Raw genomic sequence first — 24,548 nt, 5'->3', positions numbered from 1 at the left:
CTCTCCTCTCCTCCCCTCTCCTCTCCTTTTTTTCTCTCTCTCCCTCCATCCTTTCCTTCCTTCCTTCCTCCCTCCCTCTGTCCCTCCCTCCCTCCCTTTCTCTGTTTTTTGTTTTTTTGTTTTGTTTTGTTTTGTTTTTTGAGACAGTCTCGCTTTGTCGCCAGGCTGGAGTGCAGTGCTGCAATTTCGGCTCACTGCAACCTCCAACTCCCTGGTTCAAGCGATTCTCCTGCCTGCCTCAGCCTCCTGAGTAGCTAGGATTACAGGCACTCCCGACATCACCCCTGGCTAATTTTTTGTATTTAGTAGAGACGGGGTTTCACCATGCAGGATGGTCTCTATCCCCAGACCTCATTATCCGCCCACCTCGGCCTCCCAAAGTGCTGGGATTACAGGCATGAGCCACCACACCTGGCCCCCTTTCTCTCTTTCTCGCTTTCTTTCTGAGACAGAGTCTCACTGTCACCCAGACTACAGTACAGTGGTTCAATCATAGCCCACTGTATCCTCGACCTCTTGGGCTCAAGTGATCCCCCCATCTCAGCCTCCAGAGTAGCTGGGACCACACACATGCACCACCCCACTGGTTAATTTAAAAAAAAAAAAATTGTAGAGATGGGTTCTTGCTACATTGCCCAGGCTGGTCTCAAGCTCCTGAGCTCAAGTGATCCTCCTGTCTTGGCCTCCCAAAGTTCTGGGATCACAGGCATCAGCCACTGTATCCAGCACAAAACACTTAAGCTTAATTGATGCCCCATGAAATTCCACAAGGGCTGACCTGGGCTGGCCTTTGTCCTTATTGCATCCCAGCATCCAGCCTAGGGCCTGGCAGACAGTAGCTAGCTTGCTCAGTGTTTGTTGATTGACTAAATGACCACCACCTCTGTTTTCTCCACACCCCCATGGGCAGCTTAGTGCTGACCCTGGATGTCAGTCAGTGTTCACCAAGGAGGCCTGGCTCAGTGGCTCACGCCTGCAATCCCAGCACTTTGGGAGGCCAAGACAGGTGGATCACCTGAGGTCAGGAGTTCGAGACCAGCCCGGCCAACATGGGGAAACCCCATCTCTACTGAAAACACAAAAATTAGCTGTGCGTGGTGACGCATGCCTGTAATCCCAGCTACTTGGGAGGCTGAAGCAGGAGAATCGCTTGAACCCGGTGGGGTGGAGGGTGGAGGTTGCAGTGAGCCAAGATCATGCCACTGCGCTCCAGCCTGGGCGACAGAGTCAGACTCTGTCTCAAAACAAACAAACAAAACAAAACAAAACAAAACTAAAAAAAAAAAGTTCACTGGAGAAAGGAGCACAGGAGCTGCCTTCCACAGAGCTGGCCTACCCTGGGGGCTGTCTCCAGCGAGACCACGAGAGCCGGGAAGTAGAGGCTGTGTGTGGGGGGCGGGGGCGGGAGTGGTGGGACAGAGCTCTTCCAACCTGGCTCAACACCCCACTTCTAGGTCATCTGGCCTCTCTGAATAGTTTCCCCAACTCCAGTGATCAAAGAAAGTGGACAGTAACTCCCCGGAGGCTCTAGAAAGCATAGTCCTTGCTATCATCATCATGATATATATGATATAATAATAATTATATTATTATTTTTTTTCTTTCTTTCTTTTTTTTTTTTTTTTTGGAGATGGAGTTTCACTCTTGTTGCCCAGGCTGGAGTGCAATGGCACAATCTCGGCTCACTGCAACTTCCGCCTCCTGGGTTCAAGTGATTCTCCTGCCTTAGCCTCCCAAGTAGCTGGGATTACAGGCATGCAGCACCATGCCTGGCTAATTTTGTATTTTTAGTAGAGATGGGGGTTTCACCCTGTTGGCCAGGCTGGTCTCGAACTCCTGACCTCAGGTGATCTGCCTGCCTTGGCCTCCCAAAGTGCTGGGATTACAAGCGTAAGCCACCACGTCTGGCCTTTTTTCTTTTTTTTTTTTTTAATTAAAGAGATGGGGGTCTCGCTCTGTCGCCTAGGCTGGAGTGCAGTGGCCATTCACAAGCGTGATCATAGCTCACTGCAGCCTCGAACTCCTGGACTCGATACTCCCACCTTAGCCTTCCGAGTAGCTAGGACCACAGGTGCACGCCACTGTACCCAGCTTGTTATTATTTCAAAAGCTGGCACTTTTTCCTCAGGTCACCTTTTTTTTTTTTTTTTTGAAACAGAGCTTTGCTCTGTCGCCCAGGCTGGAGTGCAGTGGCGCGATCTTGGCTCACTGCAACCTCTGCCTCCCGGATTCAAGTGGTCCTCCTGCCTCAGCCTCCCAAGTAGCTAGGATTGCAGGTGCCCACCACCATCCCCGGGCAATTTTTGTATTTTTAGTAGACACGGGGTTTCGCCATGTCGGCCAAACTGGCCTCAAACTCCTGACCTCAAGTGATCCACCTGCCTCAGCCTCCCAAAGTGCTGGGATTACAGGCGTGAGCCACCTAGCCTGCCCAGTTACCAATTTTTCTATCCAACCCCTGAGCCACCCCCACCCCCAAAGGCGACCCAAGTCTGGGATTCACTCACCCTAGGGTGCAGGGGTCTCCTCGCCGAGCCACTGCAAAGGGGCTGTCCCCTTCAGTCCTGCTGGTGACCACTTGACTGGGAGAGAGGGTGGCTGCTGCTGCCTTTCCTGTCCCTTTGAGATCTGTAATGATCAGACAGGGGGTGCGGGGTGGAGGCGGGGACCCAAAAGAGTAGGGTGCAGACAGCTCCCGGACTACAGTGGTCTTTCTTATTTTTTATTTTTTTGAGACAGAGTCTTGCTCTGTCACCCAGGCTGGAGTGTAGTGATGTGATCTCAGCTCACTGCAACTGCCGCCTCCAGGGTTCAAACAATTCTCCTGCCTCAGCCTCCCAAGCATCTGGGATTACAGGTGCCTGCCACCATGCCCGGCTACTTTTTGTATTTTTAGTAGAGATGGGGTTTTGCTGTGTTGGCCAGGCTGGACTTGAACTCCTGGCCAGAGGTGATTCACCTGCTTCAGCCTATTACGTACAATGGTCTTTACAGCAGATCTGCGCTCTGGCTTGGTGTTGCTGAGCTGGGTCATCTCCTAAGCTTTCAGGAAGCTTAAGAACAGTGGCTTTATCACTCCAATGGGGCCCTGGGCTAGCCCCACCTCTTCCATGTCCCCTCCCTAAGGCCACTCCTCCTTTCACTGGGCTCCAGAAGCTAGACACTGAATGCTTTATCTGTCTTTCCCAATGCTGTTCCTGCTCACCCCCTCACATTGCCCCTAGTTCCTTCGCCATGGGGAGATCTAGGTGGGTGACATTCAGGGAGGTGACATTTTGTCACCCAGGCTGGAGTGCAGTCGCATGAACATGGCTCACTGCAGCCTTGACTTCCCGGGCTCAAGCGATCCTCCCACCTTCGGCCCCCAAGTAGCTTGGACTACAAGTGTGCACCACTACACCTGGCTAATTTTTTTAATTTTTTGTAGAGACAGGGTTTCAGTACGTTGCCCAGGCTGGTCTCGAACTCCTGAGCTTGCCTCGCCCTTCCAAAGTGTTGGGATTACAGTTGTGAACCACCTCGCTTGGCAGAGCAGCTGAACTCTTGCTCCCCAGCTCTGAAGCTGCCCTGGGAGCCTGTAGCTCCCTTGGCGTGCTCCCTCCATCTATTTAGTGCTGTCTGCAGAGGGCTTATAGAAGCACATGGTACCCAAGTCCGATCCTGGAGAAGAGGGCAGAAAAGGACACCCCATGGAGGGCAGGGGCAATGCCAGACCCCAGAACAGGACTGAAGGGGAAACCCCCAGCTGCCCTTTCTCTCACCAGGACCTGGGATCGGGGCAATGGTCACCTTGGATGGCTCAGGGGCCACCTGTTCCAGCCAGGGGGACTTGGTGCTGACCCTAGCCTTGGGAGGGCAGGGCCTTGTCCAAGGTCACTCAGCGGGTTGCTGCGTCGGAGTAAAAATTATCTCCTCCGTGGCTCCAGAAGCTTTGACTTCCCCATCTATAAGCCCCCTCCCCCCAGGGATTTCCTTTGATGAGGTCTTGGGCAGCCTGAGGAGGCTGGGAGCGGGGGCACACGGGGGACAAGAGGAGGTGAGATCTGGGAGCCCCGGAAGAGAGCGAGGCCGGGGCTTCTTGGCTCAGTCCTGTCTGGGTCTCTAGCCAGAGGAGAAACTTGGAGAAAGTAAGGAATCCCCCCAGTTCTGGGGCCCTGGCAACCCACGCTCAGGGTTAAACGGCGGCGGGGGCAGAGGATCCCAAAGCTGACCTCCCCAGCTGGGTCCCGGGATTCGTGGATCTGACCAGAAACCTGCTCTGCCCCAGCCCAGCTGGGTGACCTTGGGCGAGTGGTAACCCTCTCTGGGCCTCAGCCCCTCCTCCTGTCCGGGAGAGGGGAGGGGGGAAGGGAGGGAGCTTAGGGAAAAGAACAGGAACCCGGAGCCCAGCGCACAGTAGGCTGGCAGGTGGGGGGTTCCCTCCTACTGCGCAGCCTGGCCAGCACAGGGAATCCCCGCCACAACGCAAGGAGAAAGGGAGAAACCTGAGGGGACAGAGAGGGAGGAGGGGGCAACGGGAACCAGCGGTGCTTTCCCCCCACCACTGAGGAGGGTGCAGGCGTGGAGGATCCCCATGTCCCCACCTTCACCTCGCGGAGGGAGGGGGATGTCTGCGCTTCCCCAGACCTGGAAGCAGGAACCCCCTCCTCACAGGGCATGGGGGTGGGGTCAGGAGCTGACTCCCGGGATCGGTGTTGGAGGCGGGGGTTGAAGAAGGGATGTCCCCCTCCTCCCGCAGCTCCCCTTTGAATTCCCGGAGTCGGGCAAGCTTTGACCAATCCGCCCACCAAAGAGAAGGGGACCGCCGCCGGGACCGAACGCTCCCCGCCGTGCCCCCCACTGCCACTCACCGGCCGGAGTCGGCCGCCGCAGCCGGAGTCCCTGCGCCCTGCCCGAGCGCGAAGACAAGTGCACGGCCGGGCAAGGGCGTGTGAGCCGGGAGGGTGTGCGCGCGCCGCCGCAGAGCCGACCCCCTCCCCGCCGACCTGGGCCCCGCCCCGCCGCCCGGGGAGGGGGCGCGGACCCCGCAGGCCGAGGGAGGCAGTCCGTCGCGGCCACAGCCGGGGCCCTCCCCCCCGCAAGGCGTCTCCTCTAAAGCAGGGATGGAATCCCCCTCCAGGTCTCTCGCCAAAGCCCACTCTCCCCCCTCCACCCAGGGGCGTGACAGCAAATCTTAGAAGACGGTCAAAGAGATGGGAGGACCCTCTGCCGCCTCTGGCCCAAGGTGCTCATCTTACAGACGGGGAAACTGAGGCCCGGAGAGCGGAAGCCCCTGGCCAGGGCCCAGTGTCCCAGCAGCACGGAACAGGGCTGCTCCCCTCACTCTGGGGGGCCGCTCTCTCAGCTCCGGGAAAGAAGAGAGTCAGGGAGAGAGGAAGGCAGACAATTAAAGCCTCCCCACCACGCCACTGGGGAGGATCGGGGGACCCAGAGGCTTCGGGCAGCTGGCGACGTTGACCGGGCTGGAAGGTCCCAGCTAGGAAGGGGGAGCCTGGGTGGCCAGAACCAAACCACAGAAAACTTCTCTATTTCATTGTTGGGCTGGTGACACCCTCCCCCCAACCTGCGCGATTAGGAACCTCTTGAGCCTGACTGGCCCGGGCTTGGGTGGCAGAGTTGTGAAGGTCACTCTGCCACCTTAGAACAATGTGGCTCGCGGGGTCTGGCTCGGTAGGGGATGGGAGGGAGAAGTCCAGGGGCAAGCCCTTTCCGTGACCTCGGCCCTGCCAAGCCCCTTTCTGAGCCTCAGTTTCCCTTCAGCGAACGGACAAGTGCCCACCTCCGGGGTCCCTCCAGCTCTCCGAGTCCGTAGGGCCGCCGGATATGTCTTGCTGTTCTCCTTCAGCTGCCCCCTCCAACAGAAAGCGTGGCTCCAGCTCAGACCACCGTGTTCCTCCTCGAAGTCCCCTGCTCCGCCCCGTCTCTGAACCCCCACCCACCTTCAGCCTTGGTGGGGACCTTCAGCCACCTTCAGGCAGGGGACAGGGAGGGGGGTTCCTCTTGGAAGCAGGGAGGCTTCTACAAACCTCCATTCTGGTTTTTGTTTTTTGTTTTTTTTCCTCTCTTTTCTTCCATTCATTCTAAAAATAGCCCTCCCCCCTCCCCAGCCCCCCGGCGGGGAGCCTCTCTGGAAAGGTAACGAGCTTCCCGGGCGGGGTCTGGAGGCCGGGATTCCGTGGCGCGGGCGGGGCTCGGGGACGCCGATACTGAGAGGAGGGGAAACTGGGAGCGCACCCCCCACCCCCATTGTGTGTGAGATGCGCTCAGAGGGAGCCGCCGGTGTGACCGTGACCGTGTGGAGGGAAAAAGAACAAAGGGGAGGAGGCCTTCGGGTCTGCACTGTGGAGGCAGAGAGCCGGTGGGTTCGCAGGAGCCGAGGACAAGGGGTGCCACCCAACACCCTCCCCGGGGGGGACTTCCCGCCCCTGTTGGGGAAGGCTGCGACCCATGCTTTAGTCAGACACAGTGAAGGAGAGTCAGGCTGCAGAAGTGACAAGGACACCCATGATCAGGGGATTCCCCCACGCCCCGTGGACCCCACAATCGCCCAGTGGAGCCCGAAAATCCTCCCCACTCCCGCGGCTCCTCCTGTCCCCGCCACAGTCCTTCTCCCTGACGCAGCCACAGACTTCAGTCCTCACCCGTGTGACAGGTCACGTCCCTGTCCCGCATGACCGCCCTCCCCCCACCTCCCTTCTCTTCTTGAACCAAGAGGAGCACCCTGACTCCTCACAGGCCGACGCGGTCTGCCCCCCACAACGCCCACCCTTTGTTCCAATCCCTCCGCGGTCTCCCTGGACCGCCCACCACATTCTGGACACGCCCAGCTTCTCCCCCTAACCGGTTCAGCCTCAGAGCCTTTGCATCTGCGGTTTCTTGGGCCGGGATCGCCCTTCCCTGGCTCTCCTCACCCCCTGTTCCCACAGGGCTCTTCAGGGCTCCATCCAAGGTCGCCTCTTCCCTAGAGTCGCCCCTTCTCTGGGCACGTCGCCCTGGTTTACTGTTCTCACTGCCCTCAAGCCCTGGTGTGAACTTGCTTGCTCTTTCATCTTCTCCTCTCTCCGCCCCTGGGAATGAGGGGCCAGGTGCAACTTGGTCCTAGCTGATGGGAGGAGAGGGCCGCTCCCGACCCAGCACCACCCCAGGAGCTACCTAGCTCCAAATAAAGGGACAGCACCACCCTTTGCCCAGCTAGCCGCCCTAGAAATGCCTCCAAGACACGGCACAGCAGATCCACAGCCGTCTTCTGCAGGGGGGTCACCTAGGCCAGCGAAACTAAAAACACAGGAGCCGACGTGTCCCCAACCCGGGACCGCTTAGCCCGTTTCCGGAATAATATGCCCCTGGGGAAAATGATCCGCAGGGACCGAGCTCCTGGCCGGTTGAGCAGAAGCCAGGCCGGAGGCGCAAATGTTCCACCGTTCCGATGGCGAATAAGTAAAAGAAGCGAACGTGGCAAGTTGGGGAAGTGTTGGGGGAGACGCTGGGGGCAGCCCAGGGCCAGGGACCCCTGGGGGGCTGACCTTTCCCCCCTTTGATTGTGTTTTGATAACAAAACAAAGTGTTTTGTTATCTTACACTTTTTGAAACCAAAGGGAAGGATAAAAGGGAAATTGCTTTGTTGGAGGGGACAAAGGCCCAGAGAGGGTATATGTCCCCATGGGATGAGGACGCAGTTGTCCGTGTCGAGAAATGCAACACTCCCTCACCTGCACTTGCCTCCCTAAAATCACCCTCAAATGTTTTTTTTCATGAGCACCTACTACGTGCCTGTGTGCTTTTGTGCCCAGAGAGTGAGGGAGGCTGCCCGAAAGCAGAGCCCTGGAGGTTCCTGGAGAAGGAGAAGGTGCGGGTGTCTGGGACCCGCGGGGCGATGTGGCCTTGGCAGGGCCAGGCCCATAGCGGAGGGTTTGGAGGTCGTGGGGGGTGAGGAGCGCTGAGAAAATCCCCGAGGGTGCGTGCTGCACCTTTGCGCTTTCCCCTGCCTAGCCCGGACTCGACTTCAGGCTGTTGTTCAAGGCCAGGAGGACGGCAGATGGCTGGGGGAGGGGATGACGGGGCCCGGGGGTACACCCCACATGCCGGGCTGTGGGGCGCTAGGCAGGCGGGAGACAAAGGCGTCTTCCGCGAGGGTCCGCACAGCTTTCGAAAAGGATAGGGACAGATGGTGTGTAAATTGGGGGGTGGGGGGGAACGACAATAGCCCAGATTAGGGCTGCGGGATAAAGTAGAGGACACGGAATGGGACATACTTATAATAAAAAATTGCTCGTTTATCTGAAAGTCAAGTTTAAGTGGGCGCCCTGTTTTTTTATTTTTTTTTTCTAAATCTGGAAACCTTAAGCTCGGACTCGAAGATCCTGACTTTCTGGCACAGCAACCCCCACCCTCGCAGACCAATCTGCTGGGCGGGAGACTGCAGGTGCCTAAGGTGTCCCCCAGCTCCCCCTCCCATCGCCCCCACTGGCCCAGTGTACCCCTCTCCTTGTCCATATCCCTTCTCTACTCCCTAAGCTCCCCCTCCCATCCCCCTCCGCCTTTGTCGTCCCCCTCCCTCTACGCTCTCCCCCGTCACCCCCTCCCTGGCGCGCATCCCCAGGCTCGCCTCTCCCTGCACCCCTCCCTACAGTCCCTACCCATTGCGTTTTCCCCCACCGCCCCCTCCTCGGCACCCACCCCTCCTCCCCTTCTTTCCTCCCGCGCCGTCTCTTCCCCCACGGTCTCTTCCTCCCCAGCACCCGCTCCCCCGCGCCCATCCTCTACTCCCCCGCCGTCCCCCCGGTGCTCGAGGGGGAACCCCGGCTGCAGGCGCGGAGCCCCGCGCAGGCGCAGAGCCACCCGGCTTCCCCGAGGCCGCCGCCGCCCGCGCACTGCGGCCCGCGCGCCCGGTTGCTAAGGCAACGGCGGGGGCCGGAGTGGGAACCTCGGGAAGACCCCGCTCTCGCTCCCTCCCCCGCCACCTCCTCGGCAAACCCCACTCCGGTTTGAACCGGTTTCCCCGCCCCGCCCCCATGCGCACTGCGGCGGGTGAGGATTCCCCGGCCCTCAGGGTGGGTGGGTTGGGGGCGGGGGGCGGGGGGTGTCGGGTGGGGCCGACGCATGCGCGCTGGGCGCGGCATCCCCTCTTCTGCTGGCGCGCGACGGGAAAGCCCCGGCGCAAATGGCGAGCACCCCCGCGCAGGCGCAGTGAGCGACCGGCGGCCCCGCGGCCCCGCCCGGTCGTCCTGGCAACGCACGCGGGGCCGGCTGGGCGCGCACGGAACTCCCCTCTCACGCCCCCTCCCGCTCTCTGCGGCGGAGCTGGGGATTCCCTGCTGCCAGTGCGCACGCGCGAGCCTGGGATTCCGCGGGGGCGGGGGTGGGGGCGGGGCCGGGGCCGGGGCCGGGGCTAGGAGCCGAAGGGAGTAAGGGCCTTTCTGTAACAGGGAACAAACGTCATCACCTTGTCTTTGTGCCCGAGGGCTGACGACCACCCTCTCAGCTCCTGTCCTGAGTTTCATCCTCACTCTTGTCCACCAGTTGTCCCTCTGCAGGCGCCCGGAAGAGCCTGCCACGCGCCGCTCTGATCGGCTCTCTGCCCTGCTCATAACCCCACCGGGGCTCCCCATCGTCCTGGGGTGAAGCCCCACTCCTTTGCCTGGCGTCCGAGGCCCTGTGTGCCCAGTCGTGTCTGGCTGGCCCTCCCGTCGGCTTCTTCCCTCGGATCGATTACCATTGGTCCCCGACCTTCTCTCATCCCCAGCCAGAAAGACCCTAATATGGTCATGTGGGCCAAGCCCTTCCCCACGTACCCTTCCCAGGTACCATCTCCTTGATTCTCCAGATAGCCTGGGGTTGGGCGCGGTTTTTAGTCCTATTTTACCGGAGAAACTGAGGCTTAGATCATTCAGAACCTTGTCTAAGGTCTCAGAAGAGTCAGAGGTGGGATTCAAACCCAGGCCTCCATTTGTGGGGAGCTATATGGGCTATTCCATTCATTTCCTGGCTGACATCTTCAGCCCCAATTCTGGGCCCCAAAACTACCCCTGCTGCCTTCCTGGCGGCTCTGGGTGCTTCCCGGCTATGTGACACAGGCAGGTGACTTAGTTTTCTTTCTCTTTTCCTTTTTTTTTTTTTTTTTTTGAGACAGAGTTTTGCTCTCCTTGCCCAGGCTGGAGTGCGATGGTGTGGCCTCGGCTCACTCTGCCTCCCGGGTTCAAGCGACTCTCCTGCCTCAGCCTCCAGAGTAGCTGGGATCACAGACGCCCGCCACCACGCCCGGCTTTTTTTTTTAGATGGAATCTCTCTCTGTCGCCCAGGCTGGAGTACAGTGGCATGAACTCGGCTCACTGCAACCTCCGCCTCCCGGGTTCAAGCGATTCTCCTGCCTCAGGCTCCCGAGTAGCTGGGATTACAGGCATGCACCACCACGCCTGGCTAATTTTGTATTTTTAGTAGAGACGGGGTTTCTCCATGTTGGTCAGGCCGGTCTCGAACTCCCGACCTCAGGTGATCCACCCACCTGGGCCTCCCAAAGTGTTGGGATTACAGGCGTGAGCCACTGTGCCCAGCCTTAGTTTTCTTATATACAAAGACGATCAATATCTCATAGGGGCTGTCCCCAGGGCTCAGTGAGGGGCTGCTGCCACCTGTTTGGCCAAGGCCTGGCACCCAGTGGTGCCACTGCCTGTCTCCTCCCACGTGGGGGACTCTGCTCGTTGGTGCCCCCTGCAGGATGCAGGGGGCCTTACCTTCCTCTCCTTTCCCTAACCCTCACCAAAGGTCTCTCCCAGATATCCCACGTTTCCTACAGTCATTGTCTCAGGGTTGGTTCTTGGGGGACCTCCAAACTAAGCTAGTGTCCAACATATGTTGGTTAGTTTTTATGTTAACTTCAGCTGTACCCAGTTTATTTTTTAGAGACGGGGTCTCGCTCCGTCGCCCAGGCTGCAGTGCAGTGGCACAGTTATGGCTCACTGCAACCTCCTCACTGCAACCTCTAACTCAACCTCAAGGGATTCTCCCACCTCGGCCTCCAAAGAAGGTGGGACCACAGGCACATGCCATCACGCCCTAATTTTAAACTTTTTCTGTAGAGACAAAGTCTTGCTTTCTTGCCCAGGCTGGTCTCAAACTGCTGAATTCAAAAGATCCTTCCACTGTGGCCTCCCAAAGTCCTGCGATTATAGATAGGTGTGAGCCACCGTGCCTCACCTGTACCTAGTTATTCCTGGCACCTTTTACCCTCCGTTGAACAGGAAGCAGTGTGACTTCCAGACCTTTGCACATGTGATTTCTTCGACTTTTCTGTCCCTTGTCTGTGTGGAGAGCTCCTATGCATCCTGAAAGTCCCGTCCTCCATGATACATTCTATCTCCCACCTCTGGGCAGAGCCTAGCCCCTTCCAGCCTGCCCAGCCCTCCAGCCCTGACTACACAGAGCTGAGGACCTCTGTGGGGACCTGCATGCACTAAGCCTTGTGATCTGGGAGGACAGTGATTTTTTTTTTTTTTTTTTTGAGATGGAGTCTCGCTCTGTTGCCCAGGCTGGAGTTCAGTGGCTCACTGCAACCTCCAACTCCCAGGTTCAAGCGATTCTCCTGCCTCAACCTCCCGAGTAGCTGGGACTACAGGCACTTGCCGCCATGCCCGTCTAACTTTTTGTATTTTTAGTGGAGATAGGGTTTCACCATGTTTCCCAGGCTAGTGTCGAACTCCTGAGCTCAGGTGACCCACCCGCCTTGGCCTCCCAAAGTGCTGGGATTACAGGCCTGAGCCACCGCACCCAGCAGGACGGTGTTCTTGGTGGAGGGATCAAGCCTTCTGTGTTGGAGGGTCTCAGAAGCCAAGAGTAAGGAGGCTGGAAGTACTGAGCTGAGAGGGTAATGGGGAGTCAGGGGACAGCCCTATGGGCATAGGAAGTGGGTGTCACCTGGGCAAGAGCCACAGCAGTGGCCTGGTAAGTCCTTCAACCCTACCCTCTACCCTTGTGCCTCAGTTCCCCCCACTGTTATGGATGACCTTGGACAGCAGGGCTGTCCAAGGCCAGGCACACAGTGGGGACTTGATGGCCATTTCTTGCACCAGGGGCTGCTCCAACCTCTACCCGAGCCCACTGGGTAAGTGCTGCAGATGATCTGACCACTGCAACTTTTTTTGTTGTTGTTGCCAGTCTTGCTCTGTTGCCCAGGTTGGAGTGCAGTGCTGTGATCTTGACTCTCTGCAGCCTCTGCCTCCTGGGTTCAAGCGGTTCTAGTGCTTCAGCCTCCCCAGTAGCTGGGATTATAAGCATGCGTCACCACACCCAGCTAATTTTTGTATTTTTAGTAGAGACGGGGTTTCACCATGTTGGCCAGGCTTGTCTCGAACTCCTGACCTTAGGTGATCCGCCCACCTTGGCCTCCCAAAGTGCTGGGATTACAGGAATGAGCCACCGCACCCGGCCCTGACCACTGCAGCTTCTGGGGGCACCTCCATCCCCTGCCGCCCTCATGAGTCCAAGCAATTTGCTCAGCCCACAAAGCCTCACAGGCCCATCTCCCAGCTGCCCTTCCTCTATTCTTCCGGGCTGGCTAAGTTCTAGGAAGCCAGAACTAGGTTCAAATCCCACTCCACCCTTCCCAGATGTGCAGTCTCTGACGGGACGCTTGCTCACACCCACTCCGATCCACCTGCTCACTGCAGCCTCCAGGCCTTTCCCAGCCCAGTGCCTTCCTCCTCCCTCTGCAATGAGATCTGACTCATCCCCCACTAAGGAAGAAATCCTCCACTGGGAAGCCTGCCCAGGATTCAGCACAGAAGGATTTGGCCCAGATGCCTCCCCTGTAGGAATAACAGCAGAGCAGCCAGCATTTCCTGACCCCAAACACAACATGGTACCCCCAATCAAGTCCTAGGGCCCACCCTGAACTGGAATCTCAGAAGGCAGACAGGCTCCAGCTCTTCTCTGGCTCTGCCTCTGAAGTATGGCCAGCGCCTCCACCTCCACCTCTCTAAGCGTGTGCAGGAGACAGTGGAGCAGGTGCCTCACTGGACAAGTGGCACAGCCAAGGAGGGGTGCTGGCAGGAGCCGATGAAGCACAGCTGGCAGCAGGAAGGAGCGCGCTGTTGGGGGCTCTTGTCTTTTCTAGCTATGATCCCAGTGCGGTTCACAGCAGGTCCCCAAAGCTGTTCCTTCTCCCCATTCTTCGCCCGCCTCTCCCCACCCACTCACTTAGGCTTCAAGTGCCTCACCGCAGCCTTGCCGCCACCTTTATTGGGCACTCAGCCCTGAGGCTCTACACACACGCGCCGGGGGATGGGAGGGGATGGGGTGTCACTCGGGGCAGGGACCCTCTGGCGGGAGGACGGGTGGCTGGTGATAAGAGCATGGCCCCGGGGCCCGGCGCCTTGGCCCCCGGAACGCTCTGTGACCCTCGCAGCTGACCTGGCCTAAGGGCGTGCAGAGTCGTGACCTGGACCACCCGTGGGTGAACTGGCTCCCCAAGTTCTGGGCTCACTTGGGGGCATTGAAGGGCACGGCCCGCTGGTTCATGGGGTTGTCAGGAGAGCGGAGCCACTCCTTCTTGAGCAGCTGTTTCAGCTGCGACAGCCGCATGTTGGGGTTCTCTTGTTTGAGCCGCGGCAGCTGGGCTTCCTCAAAGGCTGTGAAGGCTGCCCGCATGCGTCTTTCTGGGTGCCGGTCGGCCGCCTCCTCCGCCACGCTGGGGGTGGACATGAGCGTCAGGGGGCCTTGGGCGCAGCCTTGCCCCGAAAAGCCCGGCCCCGCCCCCAGGTAGCCCCGCCCCCGATGACCAGCTCCACCCCTGGGAAAGCCCCAGGCCCCGCCCCGTTACCTGAGCACTGCAATGGCGTCCTCGATGGTGCGCGCCTCCACGCTGCCCTCCTCCAGCACGCGGCGGTTCACGTTCTCCTCCAGCGGCACCTCCAGATGGCTCTTGGCTTTCTCGGCTGGGCGGGTGGGTGGGTGACAGAGACAGAGAGAGATAAGCAAAGATGCACAGTTCCAAGGAGATGAGATAGAGACTGGCAAGAGAAGCTAGGGGCGGGAGGAAGGCGGGAGAGATGAGGGGGGATGGAATCGCGACTTCAGCTGATAAGCCCTCTTGGGACAGGTCCCACCCTCCCGGCGCCCAGTTCTCTGCCTTACTTTCCGGCAGCCCTGCAAACAAGAGGACCCCGCGGGGCACAAGCCCTGAGGTTGTCTGCTCACGGCCAGGCCTACCAGGAGGCGGCCTACCCACCCACCCTGCACCACGTGGAGCCCCGGCAGCTTCTCTGGGGGCCAGGAGGGGGCTAATGGACTCAAGGTCCACTGCCTCTGCAGTGGGCAAAAGTGCAGCTCCAGAGCGGGATGCCGCCCGACCTGTGTCCGGGGCCTCCCTGAGCTGATGGTCTCGGCGCAGCGTGTCCTCGATCTGGGCCCGGGTGACCTTGCTGGACGTGGCCACCCGCGGCGCCTTGCCGCCCTTGAGCTTGGAGTCCTCCTCCTCCAGTAGGCGCTGCGTCTCCTTCTTACGTTCCAGCTGGTCGAGGCGCCGCTTCTCCTTCTCCTCCTGCGGGGGCGGCGTGCATGGTCAGGCAGAAGACCCCACACCCCCGCGCCACCCACTAGCCTGGGGTTCGAGTTTTCATCTCAGCCAACGAGGATTTAGGCTCTGTGCTGGGTGCAGGGGACATACCAGGAACAAGATAGGTCCCGGTGCTGCCCTGGGCGGGGGATGTGAGGCCAACAGGGGAACCTTGGACAGGGCGGGTGGGTGGCTCTTGAAGAAGTGACGCTCCTAGGTGCGAAGAGCGCCGGCCAAGGGGGAGAGCTGGGGAACAGGAGCGTCCTTAGCAGCAGGGCTACCAGTGCAAAGGCGCCGAGGCAGGAGCCATTTGTTGTAACAGGAACAGCTTGGAGGCTGGAGTGGGAGTGAAGCGGGAGGGGGAAGAGGCCGGGAGGGAGACGGCTGGGCCATGCGGAGCCTCTGGGGGCCAGGGAGGGGTTCATGTTGGATTCTAAGAGCCGTGGGAGGCCTGGACCCGTTTCAGGCTAGGGCAGGGGCTCTGCCCTTATGAGTCGGGCAGCACTGTCCACGTTTCCCTGCCGTGGGTCACTGAGGCTGAAACTGATTCCACATCGGCCGCCCAGGGAAGCCCTGATGCTGGCTGGATGAGGGACATCTGGGCTACGGGACTTGCCCTTGCCCTGGCCTGCACGGACCCCAGGGGGCCGAGCAAGCCCACGGTTTATATGCAGTGCTGCTGGAAGCTCAGGGCAGTACTCTGCCCACTGCCTGGCACTCCTGCAGGGCCCTGGTCTCGGACACCCCTGCCTGCCCCCTCACTGCCTGAGACTCCACCATCTGACTCTCACACCTTCAGCCTTCCCAGGGACGATCCCCACACCTGCAGTGTCCCCCTGGGACACTACCACTGCATCTCCAGATAGATTTGACAGAAGGGAATGTCGCAGAATAGGGGTGGACGCACCTAAGGACACTGCCAGGGCCTGACCCCCACCCCCACCAGCACAGCAGGAAAGTGGAGGGGGCGGTTAAAGTCAAGGCTGTTGGAGTGCACAAACTGGGCTCCCATTGCTGTGCTGAGGAGCCTTAGTTTCCCCCTCGGTCAGAGGCAACGTCCCGAGGCTCCCCGACCGATGCGTGTCACACACACATTCTGCCTCAGACAGGGTCCTTTTTTTTTTTTTTTCTGAGACAGTCTCTCTCAGTCGCCCAGGCTGGAGTGCAGTGGTGCGATCTCGGCTCACTGCAACCTCTGCCTCCCGAGTTCAAGCAATTCTCATGCCTCAGCCTCCCAAATAGCTGGGACTGCAGGTGCCCACCACCACGCCTGGCTAATCTTTTGTAATTTTAGTAGAGACGGGGTTTCACCATGTTGCCCAGGCTGGTCTCGAACTCCTGACCTCAAGTGATCTGCCTGCCTTGGCCTCCCAAAGTGCTGGGATTACAGGTGTGAGCCACTGTGCCTGGCCAATGCATGATGTTTGAAGTGAGGAGAGGTATCACTGGTGGGGGACTGACCAGGAGGGGTATGAGGGAAACTCACGGGGGCTGAGAATATTCTAGAGAGCAGGGGTTGACAAACTATAGCCAACTAGCCAACTGCCTTCTTTGGTAAAGGTTTTTTGTGTTTTTTTCGTTCGTTTGTTTTTTCGAGACGGAACCTTGCTCTGTCGCCCAGGATGGAGTGCAGTGGCGCCATCTCGGCTCACTGCAAGCTCCTCCTCCCGGGTTCATGCCATTCTCCTGCCTCAGCCTCCTGAGTAGCTGGGACTACAGGTGCCTGCCACCATGCCCGGCTGATTTTTTGTATTTTTAGTAGAGATGGGGTTTCACCGTGTTAGCCAGGATGGTCTCGATCTCCTGACCTTGTGATCTGCCCACCTCGGCCTCCCAAAGTGCTGGGATTACAGGAATGAGTTACCGCGCCCGGCCCTTTTTTTTTTTTTTTTAGGTGGAATCTTGCACTGTCGCCCAGGCTGGAGTACAATGGTGCAACCTCTGCCTCCCAGGTTCAACCGATTCTCCTGCCTCAGCCTCCGGAATAGCTGGGATTACGCACACCCGCCACCACGCCCGGCTAATATTTTGTATTTTTAGTAGAAATGGGGTTTCACTATGTTGGCCAGGCTGGTCTCGAACGCCTGACCTTGTAATCCACCTGCCTTGACCTCCCAAAGTGTTGGGATTACAGGTGTGAGCCACCATGCCCGGCCCCTTTGGTAAAGTTTTATGGGCATGCAGCCACACCTATTTGCTAACCTACTGTCAGTGGTGGCCTTCATGCTCAATGATAGGGTCTAGTGGCTTCCTGTCTGGCCCTAAGTGAAGTCTAAGCTATTCACCACCTGGCCCCAATTGCCTGTCCAACCCCCTCCATACCTTGTCCCGGATGCATGCAATACAGGTGTGCTCAGAGGTACATGCTTTCTGACCCACACTCCTAGGACAGGCATGCTTTGCTGTCCCTTAATCAAATCTCTTAACAGGCCAGAGGCGGTGGCTCACGCATGTAATTCCAGCACTTTGGGAGGCCGAGGTGGGCGGATCACTTGAGGTAAGGAGTTGGAGACCAGCCTGGCCAACATGGTGAAACCCCATCTCTACTAAAAATACAAAAATTATCCAGGCATGGTGCCATGCCTGTAATCCCAGCTACTTGGGAGGCTGAAGCAAAAGAATCGCTTGGACCTAGGAGGCGGAGGTTGCAGTGAACTGAGATCACGCCACTGTACTCCAGCCTGGGCAACAGAGACTGTCTAAAAAAAAAAAAAAAAAGGCCAGGTGCGGTGGCTCACACCTGTAATCCCAGCACTTTGGGAGGCCGAGGTGGAAGGATCACTTGGGGCCAGGAGTTTTAGACCAGCCTGACCAACATGGTGAAACCCCATCTCTACTAAAAATGCAAAAATTAGCCTGGCATGGTGGCGCACACCTGTAATCCCAGCTACTCGGGAGGCTGAGGCAGGAGAGTTGTTTGAACTTGGGAGGCAGAGGTTGCAGTGAGCCGAGGTCGCGCCACTGCACTCCAGCCTGTGCGACAGAGTGAAACTCTGCCTCAAAAAAAAAAAGCCTCTTAACAAAGGAGAAGGTGCCAGTCTGGCTCCAGCTCTTCCTCATAGCCACGTGATCTGGGCTTTCTGCCTTCTCTGCCTCAATTTCCTCATCCAGAGGATGGGGCCAACCCCAGTGGCCAAGACGCAGGCCACAGGGAGGATTAAGCCAATGATCTTGACACTATGGGCGGAAAGGTCTCTGGATTCTGTCTGGATACTGGATCTTTTTGTTTTATTTTATTATTTTTTTGAGATGGACTCTTGCTTTGTCACCCAGACTGGAGTGCAGTGGCGCGATCCCGGCTCACTGCAACCTCCACCTCCCAGGTACAAGTGATTCTTGTGCCTCAGCCTCCTGAGTTGCTGGGACTACAGGTGCGCGCCACCACGCCCAGCTAATTTTTTTATTTTTAGCAGAGATGGGGTTTCACCATGTTGGCCAGGATGGTCTCGAACTCCTGACCTCAGGTGATCCGCCTGCCTCGGCCTCCCAAAGTCCTGGGATGACAGGCGTGAGCCACCGCACCCGGATGGATACTGCATCTTTGACAGACATTGTTTTTCCTTTTGAGTTTTCAACTTTCCTATAGTGTCAAAATTTTGATGATCCCCCAACCCCCAAACTATAAATATCTCCATGGACCCAGTGCAGCAGGGTGGGTAGGGGTGGGGCTGGAAGAAAGCCAGGGACATTGAATGTGTGCTAAAAACAAGGCAGGATCTACCCCTTCACAGAAAGACAATGGGAGGCCAGGTGCAGTGGCTCATGCCTGTAATCCCAGCACTTTGGGAGGCTGAGGTGGGAGGACTGTTTGAGCCCAGGAGTTTGAGACCAACTTGGGCAACACAGTGAGATGACCCCCACCCCCTACACAAAATACAAACAATAGCTGGGCGTGGTGGTGCACGCCTATAGTCCCAGCTACTTGGGAGGCTGAGGCAGGAGGCTTGCTTGAGTTCGGGAAGTCAAGACTGCATTGAGCTGTGATCCTGCCACTGTACTCCAGTCTGGGTGACAGAGCAAGACCGTCTTTAAAAAAACAAAAAAAAGATGACGGGTAAAACAGGTGGGAATGTCCAGATTCCCCCCAAGAACTGGGCATGTTGTCAGGATAGCAGCCCCTAAGCTGGGGGGTTGCCTAGAGGGCCAGTGTCTCAGCTACCCAGGGTGTGGAAACCAGGAGCTGTGGCTAGCATGGGTCACTGGCGCCACCTACTGGGCCAAGCAGGTCAGCATCAGCCCTAAACCACAACCCAGACACCAATGAAGCATGGTGCTTGGCCCTGGGCTTTTTGATTCATCTTGAGTCACAGTCTCATTCTGTTGCCCAGGCTGGAGTACAGTAGCACGATTATAGCTTACTGCAGCCCTGAACTCCCAGGCTCAAGTGATCCTCTCACCTCAGCCTCCCAAGTAGCTGGGACCACAGGCACACACTACCATGCATGGCTAATTTGTACATGTTTTGTGGAGATGGGGTCTTGCTATGTTGCCCAGGCTGGCCTGGAGCTCCTGGCCTCAAGCAATCCTCTCACCTCAGCCTCCCAAAGTACTGAGATTACAGGCATGAGCTACCACGCCAAACGACGGCTTTTAAAAAATAAACACCTGGGCCGGGCACATTGGCTCAGGACTGTGATCTCAGCATTTTGGGAGGCCAAGGCAGGCGGATCACCTGAGGTTGGGAGTTCGAGACCAGCCTGACCAACCTGGAGAAACCCCATCTCTACTAAAAATGCAAAATTAGCTGGGCATGGTGGCACATGCCCGTAATTCCAGCTACTCAGGAGGCTGAGGCAGGAGAATCACTTGAACCCAGGAGGCAAAGGTTGCGGTGAACTGAGATCGCGCCATTGCACTCCAGCCTGGGCAACAGAGGGAGACTCTGTCTCAACAACAACAACAAAAATAAAATAAACACCTAGAAGAACCTGTGGACCTGGGTCAACAGGTTGGAAATGGGGGCCTGATCACAGCGTTTCTCAGCCTCAGCACTGCTGACATCTGGGGCTGGCTCATTCTTTGCTGTGGGGGCGTCCTGTGCATTCTAGAGTGTCAGCATCTCTGGTCTCCACCTTCTATATGCCAGCAACACCCCCTCTCCCCGAGTTATGACAACCAAACACATCTCCAGGTGTTGCCAAGCGTCCTCAGGGGCAGAGTAGCTCCACGGTGAGAATGACCATCTAGCCCAACCCTGACATTACTCAAAGGAGAGAAACATCCACAGAGAGCAATGACAGCCTCACTGTCCACAGACAAGCAAGACTGTGCCACCCCAGGGCCTTTCCACACACCATTTCCTCTGCCTCCCTCCCCTCTGCCATCTCCAGTGCCTCCTGGCATTTTGCTTTTTGTTTTCCGAGACAGTGTCTCACTCTGTTGCCCAGGTTGGAGTGCAACGGCACAATCTCAGCTCATTGCAACCTCCGCCTCCTGGGTTCAAGCAATTCTCCTGCCTCAGCCTCCCGAGTAGCTGGGATTACAGGAGCCTGCCACCATGCCTGGCTAATTTTTGTATTTTGAGTAGAGTCAGGGTTTCACCATTTTGGCCAGGCTGGTCTTGAGCTCCTGACCTCAGGTGATATGCCTACCTCGGCCTCCCAAAGTGCTGGGATTACAGGTATGAGGCACTCTGCCCAGCCTCTTTTTTTTTTTTTTTTTTTTTTGAGATGGAATCTCGCTCTGTTGCCCATGCTGGAGTGCAGCGGGGAGACCTCGGCTCACTGCAACCTGCGCCTCCCAGTTGAAGCAATTCTGCTTCAGCCTCCAGAGTAGCTGGGACTGTAAGTGTGCGCCACCACGCAGTTAATTTTTGTATTTTTAGTAGAGACAGGGTTTCATCATGTTGGCCAGGCTGATCTTGAACTCCTGACCCCAGGTGATCTGCCTGCCTCGGCCTCCCAAAGTACTGGGATGACAGGCGTGAGCGACAGCGCCTGGTCCCTCCTGGCCTTTCAGACCAAAGCTCAGAGGGCCCTCTCGCTATTCACCCACATTGACATAATGACCACTGGCCTTGGCCACAAGGCATGCGGGCCGCGGGGACTCGGAGTGCACGCACCTTGCGCTGCTCCTTCCTCATGACGTGTTTGTCGTCGTCCTTCCAGTAGGCATCCTCCAGCTCCTTCTGCTTCTTGGCATCAGCGGCCGCCTTGGCCTCTGCCCTACGTGCCCGGGCCGCTGCCGACTTGGTGTTCTCACCCTGGAACTTCTTGGGCATCCCTCAGCAGGCTGCGGGAAGAGGATGGGGATGGGGGAGCAGGGGCCGGAGGGGACATCGGCACTCAGCACCCCCAGAATCACACTTGGGCAGCCATGACCCTCTTGGGGCCTCTGTGGCCTTCTCTGTATAAAACAAGGGCTTTGGACTTAGCGCTCTCCTTGTAAAAGTTTATTAAGGCAAAATTCACATCATGACACCAAATGAGCTCATTTAGGCCAGGTCTGGTGGCTCACACCCGTAATCCCAGCACTTTGGGAGGCCGAGGCGGGCGGATCACTTGCGGTCAGAAGTTCGAGACTAGCCTGGCCAACACGGCAAAACCCCATCTCCACTAAAAATACAAAAATTAGCTGGGCATGGTGGTGTGCACCCGTATTCCCAGCCAGTCAGGAGGCTGAGGCAGGAGAATCGCTCGAACCCGGGAGGTGGAGGTTGAAGTGAGCCAAGATCGTGCCACTGCACTCCAGCCTGGGCGACAGAGTGAGACTCCGTCTCAATGAAAGGAAAAAGAATCAATTTAAAGGTGGACAATTCCGGCCAGGCACAGTGGCTCACGCCTGTAATCCTAGCACTTTGGGAGGCCAAGGTGGGCGGATCACCTGAGGTCAGGAGTTCAAAACCAGTCTAGTCAACATGGTGAAACCCCGTGTCAACTAAAAATAAATAAAAATTGCTGGGTGTGGTGGCGGACACCTTTAATCCCAGCTACTCAGGAGGCTGAGGCAGGAAAGCCGCTTGAACCTGGGAGGCAGAGGTTGCAGTGAGCCGAGATCGTGCAACTGCACTCCAGCCTAGGCGGCAGAGTGAGACTCACTCTCAAAAAAAACCAAAAAGCTGGGTGTGGTGGCACATGCCTATAATCCCAGCTACTCGGGAGGCTGAGGCAGGAGAATCACTTGAACCCGGGAGGCGGAGGTTGCAATGAGCTGAGATCACACCACTGCACTCCAGCCTAGGCGACAGAGCGAGACTCCATCTCAAAAAAAAAAAAAGGTGTACAATTCAGTGTTTAAGTATATTCACAGCGTTGTGCAAATACCACCTCTGTCTAGTTCCAGAACACTTGCACCCCCCAAAAGAGGCCACATCACCATCAGCAGTCACTCCCTATTCCTCTTCCCCTAGCCCCTGGTAACCATCAATCTGCTTTCTGTCTCTGTGGCTTTCCCTGTTCTGGACATTTCAGTCCATATCAATGGAATCACAGGCCGGGTGCGATCACTCACGTTTGTAATCCCCGTGCTTTGGGAGGCTGAGGCAGGAGGATTGCTTGAGGCCAGGAGTTCAAGACCAGCCTGGGCAACATAGCAAGAGTCCGTCTCTACAAAATAAAAAATAATTAGGCACAGTGGCTTGTGCCTGTAGTTCCAGCTACTTAGGAGGCTGAGGTGGAAGGATCGCCTGAGCGTAGGAGGCTGAGGCCACAGTGAGCTATGATTGTGCCACTGCACTCCAGCCTGGGCAACAGAACAAGACCCTGTCTCTTAAAAGAAAAAAAAAAAAAGGAAACAAGGAAACAAGGCACCAATACATACATGATACAATGTGGTTGAACCTCAACAACACAATACTAAGTGAAAGAAGCCAGACACAAAAGGCCACACAGTGTGAGAGTACATTTATTTATTTATTTTGGAGACAGGGTCTCACTCTGTCGCCCAGGCTGGAGTGCAGTGGCGAAATCTCGGCTTACTGCAGCCTTGACCTCCTGGGCTCAAGTGATCCTCCCACCTGAGCCTCCTAAGTAGCTGGGACTATAGGTGCAGGCCACCATGCCTAGCTTTTTTTTTTTTTTTTTAAGGCAGGGTCTGACTATGTTGCCCAGGCTGGCCTTGAACTCCTGGGCTCAAGTGATCCTCCCGCCTCGGCCTTCCAAAGTGCTGGGATTACAGGCCTGAGCCACTGCGCCTGGCCCTTCGTTCCTTTTTATGGCTGAATATTCCTCCACTGCATGGATACGCCACATTTTGTTTATCCATTGTCCACAGCTAGACATTTGGGCTGTTTCCACGTTGGGGCTTTTTTTTGTTTTGAGACGGAGTTTTGCTCTTTCACCCAGGCTGGAATGCAGTGGCACAATCTCGGCTCACTGCAACCTCCACCCACCCGGTTCAAGCAATTCTCCTGTTTCAGCCTCCCAAGCAGCTAGGATTACAGGCACCTGCCACCACGCCCGGCTAATTTTTGTATTTTTATAGAGATGGGGTTTCACCATGTTGGCATGTGCCACCATGCCTATCTGATTTTTGTATTTTTAGTAGAGACGGGGTTTCACTATGTTGGCCAGGCTGGTCTCAAACTCTTGACCTCAAGTGATCCGCTTGCCTCGGCCTCTCAAAGTGCCTGGATTACAGGTGTGAGCCACAGTGCCTGGCAATTTCTGCTGTTTAAGCCACCCAGTCTGTGGTATTAGTTATGACAGCCCAAGCTGGAAATACAGACACTTTTCTCTGTGTAGTAAACACTCACTCACTTGCACACGTCATTCAATAAATATGTACTGGGCACCTAATACGTGTGCGATGCTGGGGAAAGAGGTGGCACAAATGAGCTTTCTGCCTGCATGGGACTCCCAGAGAAGAGCCAACACATGCAATCAGAGTCCTAATAAGGACACGCAGGGCGCCGGGGAAGCCCGGAGAGGGCTTCTGACCCAGCCTGGGTCAAAGGGCTTCCTAAAGGAGACATCTAAGGAAAAGTCTGAATGAGTGGGGGAGAGCGCAGCCTGCACGCGGGATGCAGGAGGTAGGCTGGAAAAGGGGGCGATTTGTATTCCAGGGAGATGGGAAGGTGTGGAGGGCGTTAGAGCCGGGAAGCCCAATCTATGGGTCACACAAGCCCTCTGGGGTTAGTGAGGAGGTGGACTCCCCAGATGGCAGGAGCTGGGAGCCCAGGCGGTACCCAGGGAGTGGCTCAGGCTGGGCGAGGGGCACACTTAGAAGCGAATCAAGACCCATGGGGATTAAGACCCCACGGATGTGAAGGTAAAATAACAGAATACAAAATTCAACAATGCCTCCTCTAAGCAGCCCTCCCGGCTATCCCTTTTGAAGTCCCCCACCACTAATCCCCCTACAAGAGGCCGGGGGAGTCCGCGCCCAACTCTGTCCCTCTCGAGACCAGAAGCTGCCTAGGGGCAGTCCGGGGCCAGGTGGCCTCGAACATGCTGTCGCGTCGGGCTTCAATCGTCTAGTCTGGAAATGGGCATCGCCCCCAACTAGGTGCGGTTCAGACTGGACGCCAGAAGTGCTCCTGCCTCCCAGCACCCCTCCTCCAGCCTTCCCAGGGGATGGTCCCAGGCCAAGCAGCCCCCGCCCCGCGCCTCTGCTCCCCGAACCCGGGTTCCGCCCGCGCCGCAGACGCTCCTACCTTCTTACCCCAGCGCCGGCCCGGTCGCGCCTCCGTGACGTCATCATGGGGCCTGCGCGCTGAGCTCCTGGCGGCGCGCACTCATTGCGCCTCAGTACCGCCGCCATTTTGGTAAAGAAAAAGATGGCTGGGCCTCGGACCCAAGCCAGGGTAGTCAGCCACTTCTTTGTCTCTTCAAAAAGAGGACACTTAATACGCCCTCATTCCCTACGCTCATTTAATATGTTGATGAACCAGGAGGGGCGGGCAGAGGCGAAAATCTAGAACATTGCCTTTACCAAGATGGCCGATGCCCGGATGAAAGATGGCAGCTGCGACTACACACGTGGTCCGGCGGCTTCAGCCTGGAGCGGCCCGGCCGCCAGAGCGCGCCCGCGGTCCATGAGGGGAGGTGGACCCAGTATAGCC

At 57.3% G+C, this 24,548-nt stretch overlaps 2 protein-coding genes across 4 annotated transcripts in view, besides 8 other annotated features; both read right to left on the bottom strand.

Annotated features, from left to right (window-relative positions):
* Positions 1-5,899, bottom strand: part of KCNN1 (potassium calcium-activated channel subfamily N member 1) — a 48,796-nt gene extending 42,897 nt beyond the window's left edge. Inside the window, exons 1-2 of one of the 2 annotated variants that reach the window (NM_002248.5) lie at positions 5,780-5,899; positions 2,508-2,628 (exon numbers count right to left, since the gene is read on the bottom strand). The gene's annotated coding sequence lies outside the window, so the exon portion shown is untranslated. Of the gene's footprint in view, positions 1-2,507; positions 2,629-4,850; positions 4,933-5,779 lie in introns of those variants that run through there. The other variant, NM_001386976.1, reaches the window with a different exon arrangement.
* Positions 4,128-4,745: an enhancer, noted in NCBI's record as "H3K4me1 hESC enhancer chr19:18063253-18063870 (GRCh37/hg19 assembly coordinates)". NCBI's record gives its function as "activates a minimal SCP1, AML or CMV promoter by ChIP-STARR-seq in primed H9 embryonic stem cells {active_cell/tissue: H9 hESC(primed)}" and the evidence as "EXISTENCE:reporter gene assay evidence [ECO:0000049][PMID:30033119]".
* Positions 4,746-5,363: an enhancer, noted in NCBI's record as "H3K4me1 hESC enhancer chr19:18062635-18063252 (GRCh37/hg19 assembly coordinates)". NCBI's record gives its function as "activates a minimal SCP1, AML or CMV promoter by ChIP-STARR-seq in primed H9 embryonic stem cells {active_cell/tissue: H9 hESC(primed)}" and the evidence as "EXISTENCE:reporter gene assay evidence [ECO:0000049][PMID:30033119]".
* Positions 4,933-4,982: a silencer, noted in NCBI's record as "silent region_10365". NCBI's record gives its function as "represses an Ori minimal core promoter by ATAC-STARR-seq in GM12878 lymphoblastoid cells {active_cell/tissue: GM12878}" and the evidence as "EXISTENCE:reporter gene assay evidence [ECO:0000049][PMID:35858748]".
* Positions 5,364-5,982: an enhancer, noted in NCBI's record as "H3K4me1 hESC enhancer chr19:18062016-18062634 (GRCh37/hg19 assembly coordinates)". NCBI's record gives its function as "activates a minimal SCP1, AML or CMV promoter by ChIP-STARR-seq in primed H9 embryonic stem cells {active_cell/tissue: H9 hESC(primed)}" and the evidence as "EXISTENCE:reporter gene assay evidence [ECO:0000049][PMID:30033119]".
* Positions 8,714-9,423: a silencer, noted in NCBI's record as "silent region_10364". NCBI's record gives its function as "represses an Ori minimal core promoter by ATAC-STARR-seq in GM12878 lymphoblastoid cells {active_cell/tissue: GM12878}" and the evidence as "EXISTENCE:reporter gene assay evidence [ECO:0000049][PMID:35858748]".
* On the bottom strand, positions 13,204-24,174 carry CCDC124 (coiled-coil domain containing 124). 2 transcript variants are annotated; one of them, NM_001136203.2, is made up of 5 exons: positions 24,141-24,174; positions 20,610-20,779; positions 14,344-14,533; positions 13,814-13,928; positions 13,204-13,681 (listed from the first exon to the last, which is right to left on the bottom strand). In NM_001136203.2, exons 2-5 carry the CDS (start codon positions 20,766-20,768, stop codon positions 13,474-13,476), a joined length of 672 nt encoding a protein of 223 aa, NP_001129675.1. In that variant the 5' UTR covers positions 20,769-20,779; positions 24,141-24,174; the 3' UTR covers positions 13,204-13,473. The 2 variants fall into 2 exon arrangements, with proteins under 2 accessions (NP_001129675.1, NP_612451.1); NM_138442.4 differs by lacking the exon at positions 24,141-24,174 and adding an exon at positions 21,998-22,093.
* Positions 24,012-24,061: a silencer, noted in NCBI's record as "silent region_10363". NCBI's record gives its function as "represses an Ori minimal core promoter by ATAC-STARR-seq in GM12878 lymphoblastoid cells {active_cell/tissue: GM12878}" and the evidence as "EXISTENCE:reporter gene assay evidence [ECO:0000049][PMID:35858748]".
* Positions 24,142-24,331: an enhancer, noted in NCBI's record as "active region_14292". NCBI's record gives its function as "activates an Ori minimal core promoter by ATAC-STARR-seq in GM12878 lymphoblastoid cells {active_cell/tissue: GM12878}" and the evidence as "EXISTENCE:reporter gene assay evidence [ECO:0000049][PMID:35858748]".
* Positions 24,352-24,411: an enhancer, noted in NCBI's record as "active region_14291". NCBI's record gives its function as "activates an Ori minimal core promoter by ATAC-STARR-seq in GM12878 lymphoblastoid cells {active_cell/tissue: GM12878}" and the evidence as "EXISTENCE:reporter gene assay evidence [ECO:0000049][PMID:35858748]".

This window comes from Homo sapiens, chromosome 19 (assembly GCF_000001405.40).
Source record: "Homo sapiens chromosome 19, GRCh38.p14 Primary Assembly".
In the NCBI taxonomy this organism is placed as follows: domain Eukaryota; kingdom Metazoa; phylum Chordata; class Mammalia; order Primates; family Hominidae; genus Homo; species Homo sapiens.
Note: the sequence above shows the minus strand (reverse complement) of the source record. Positions and strands in the feature narration are given on the sequence as shown.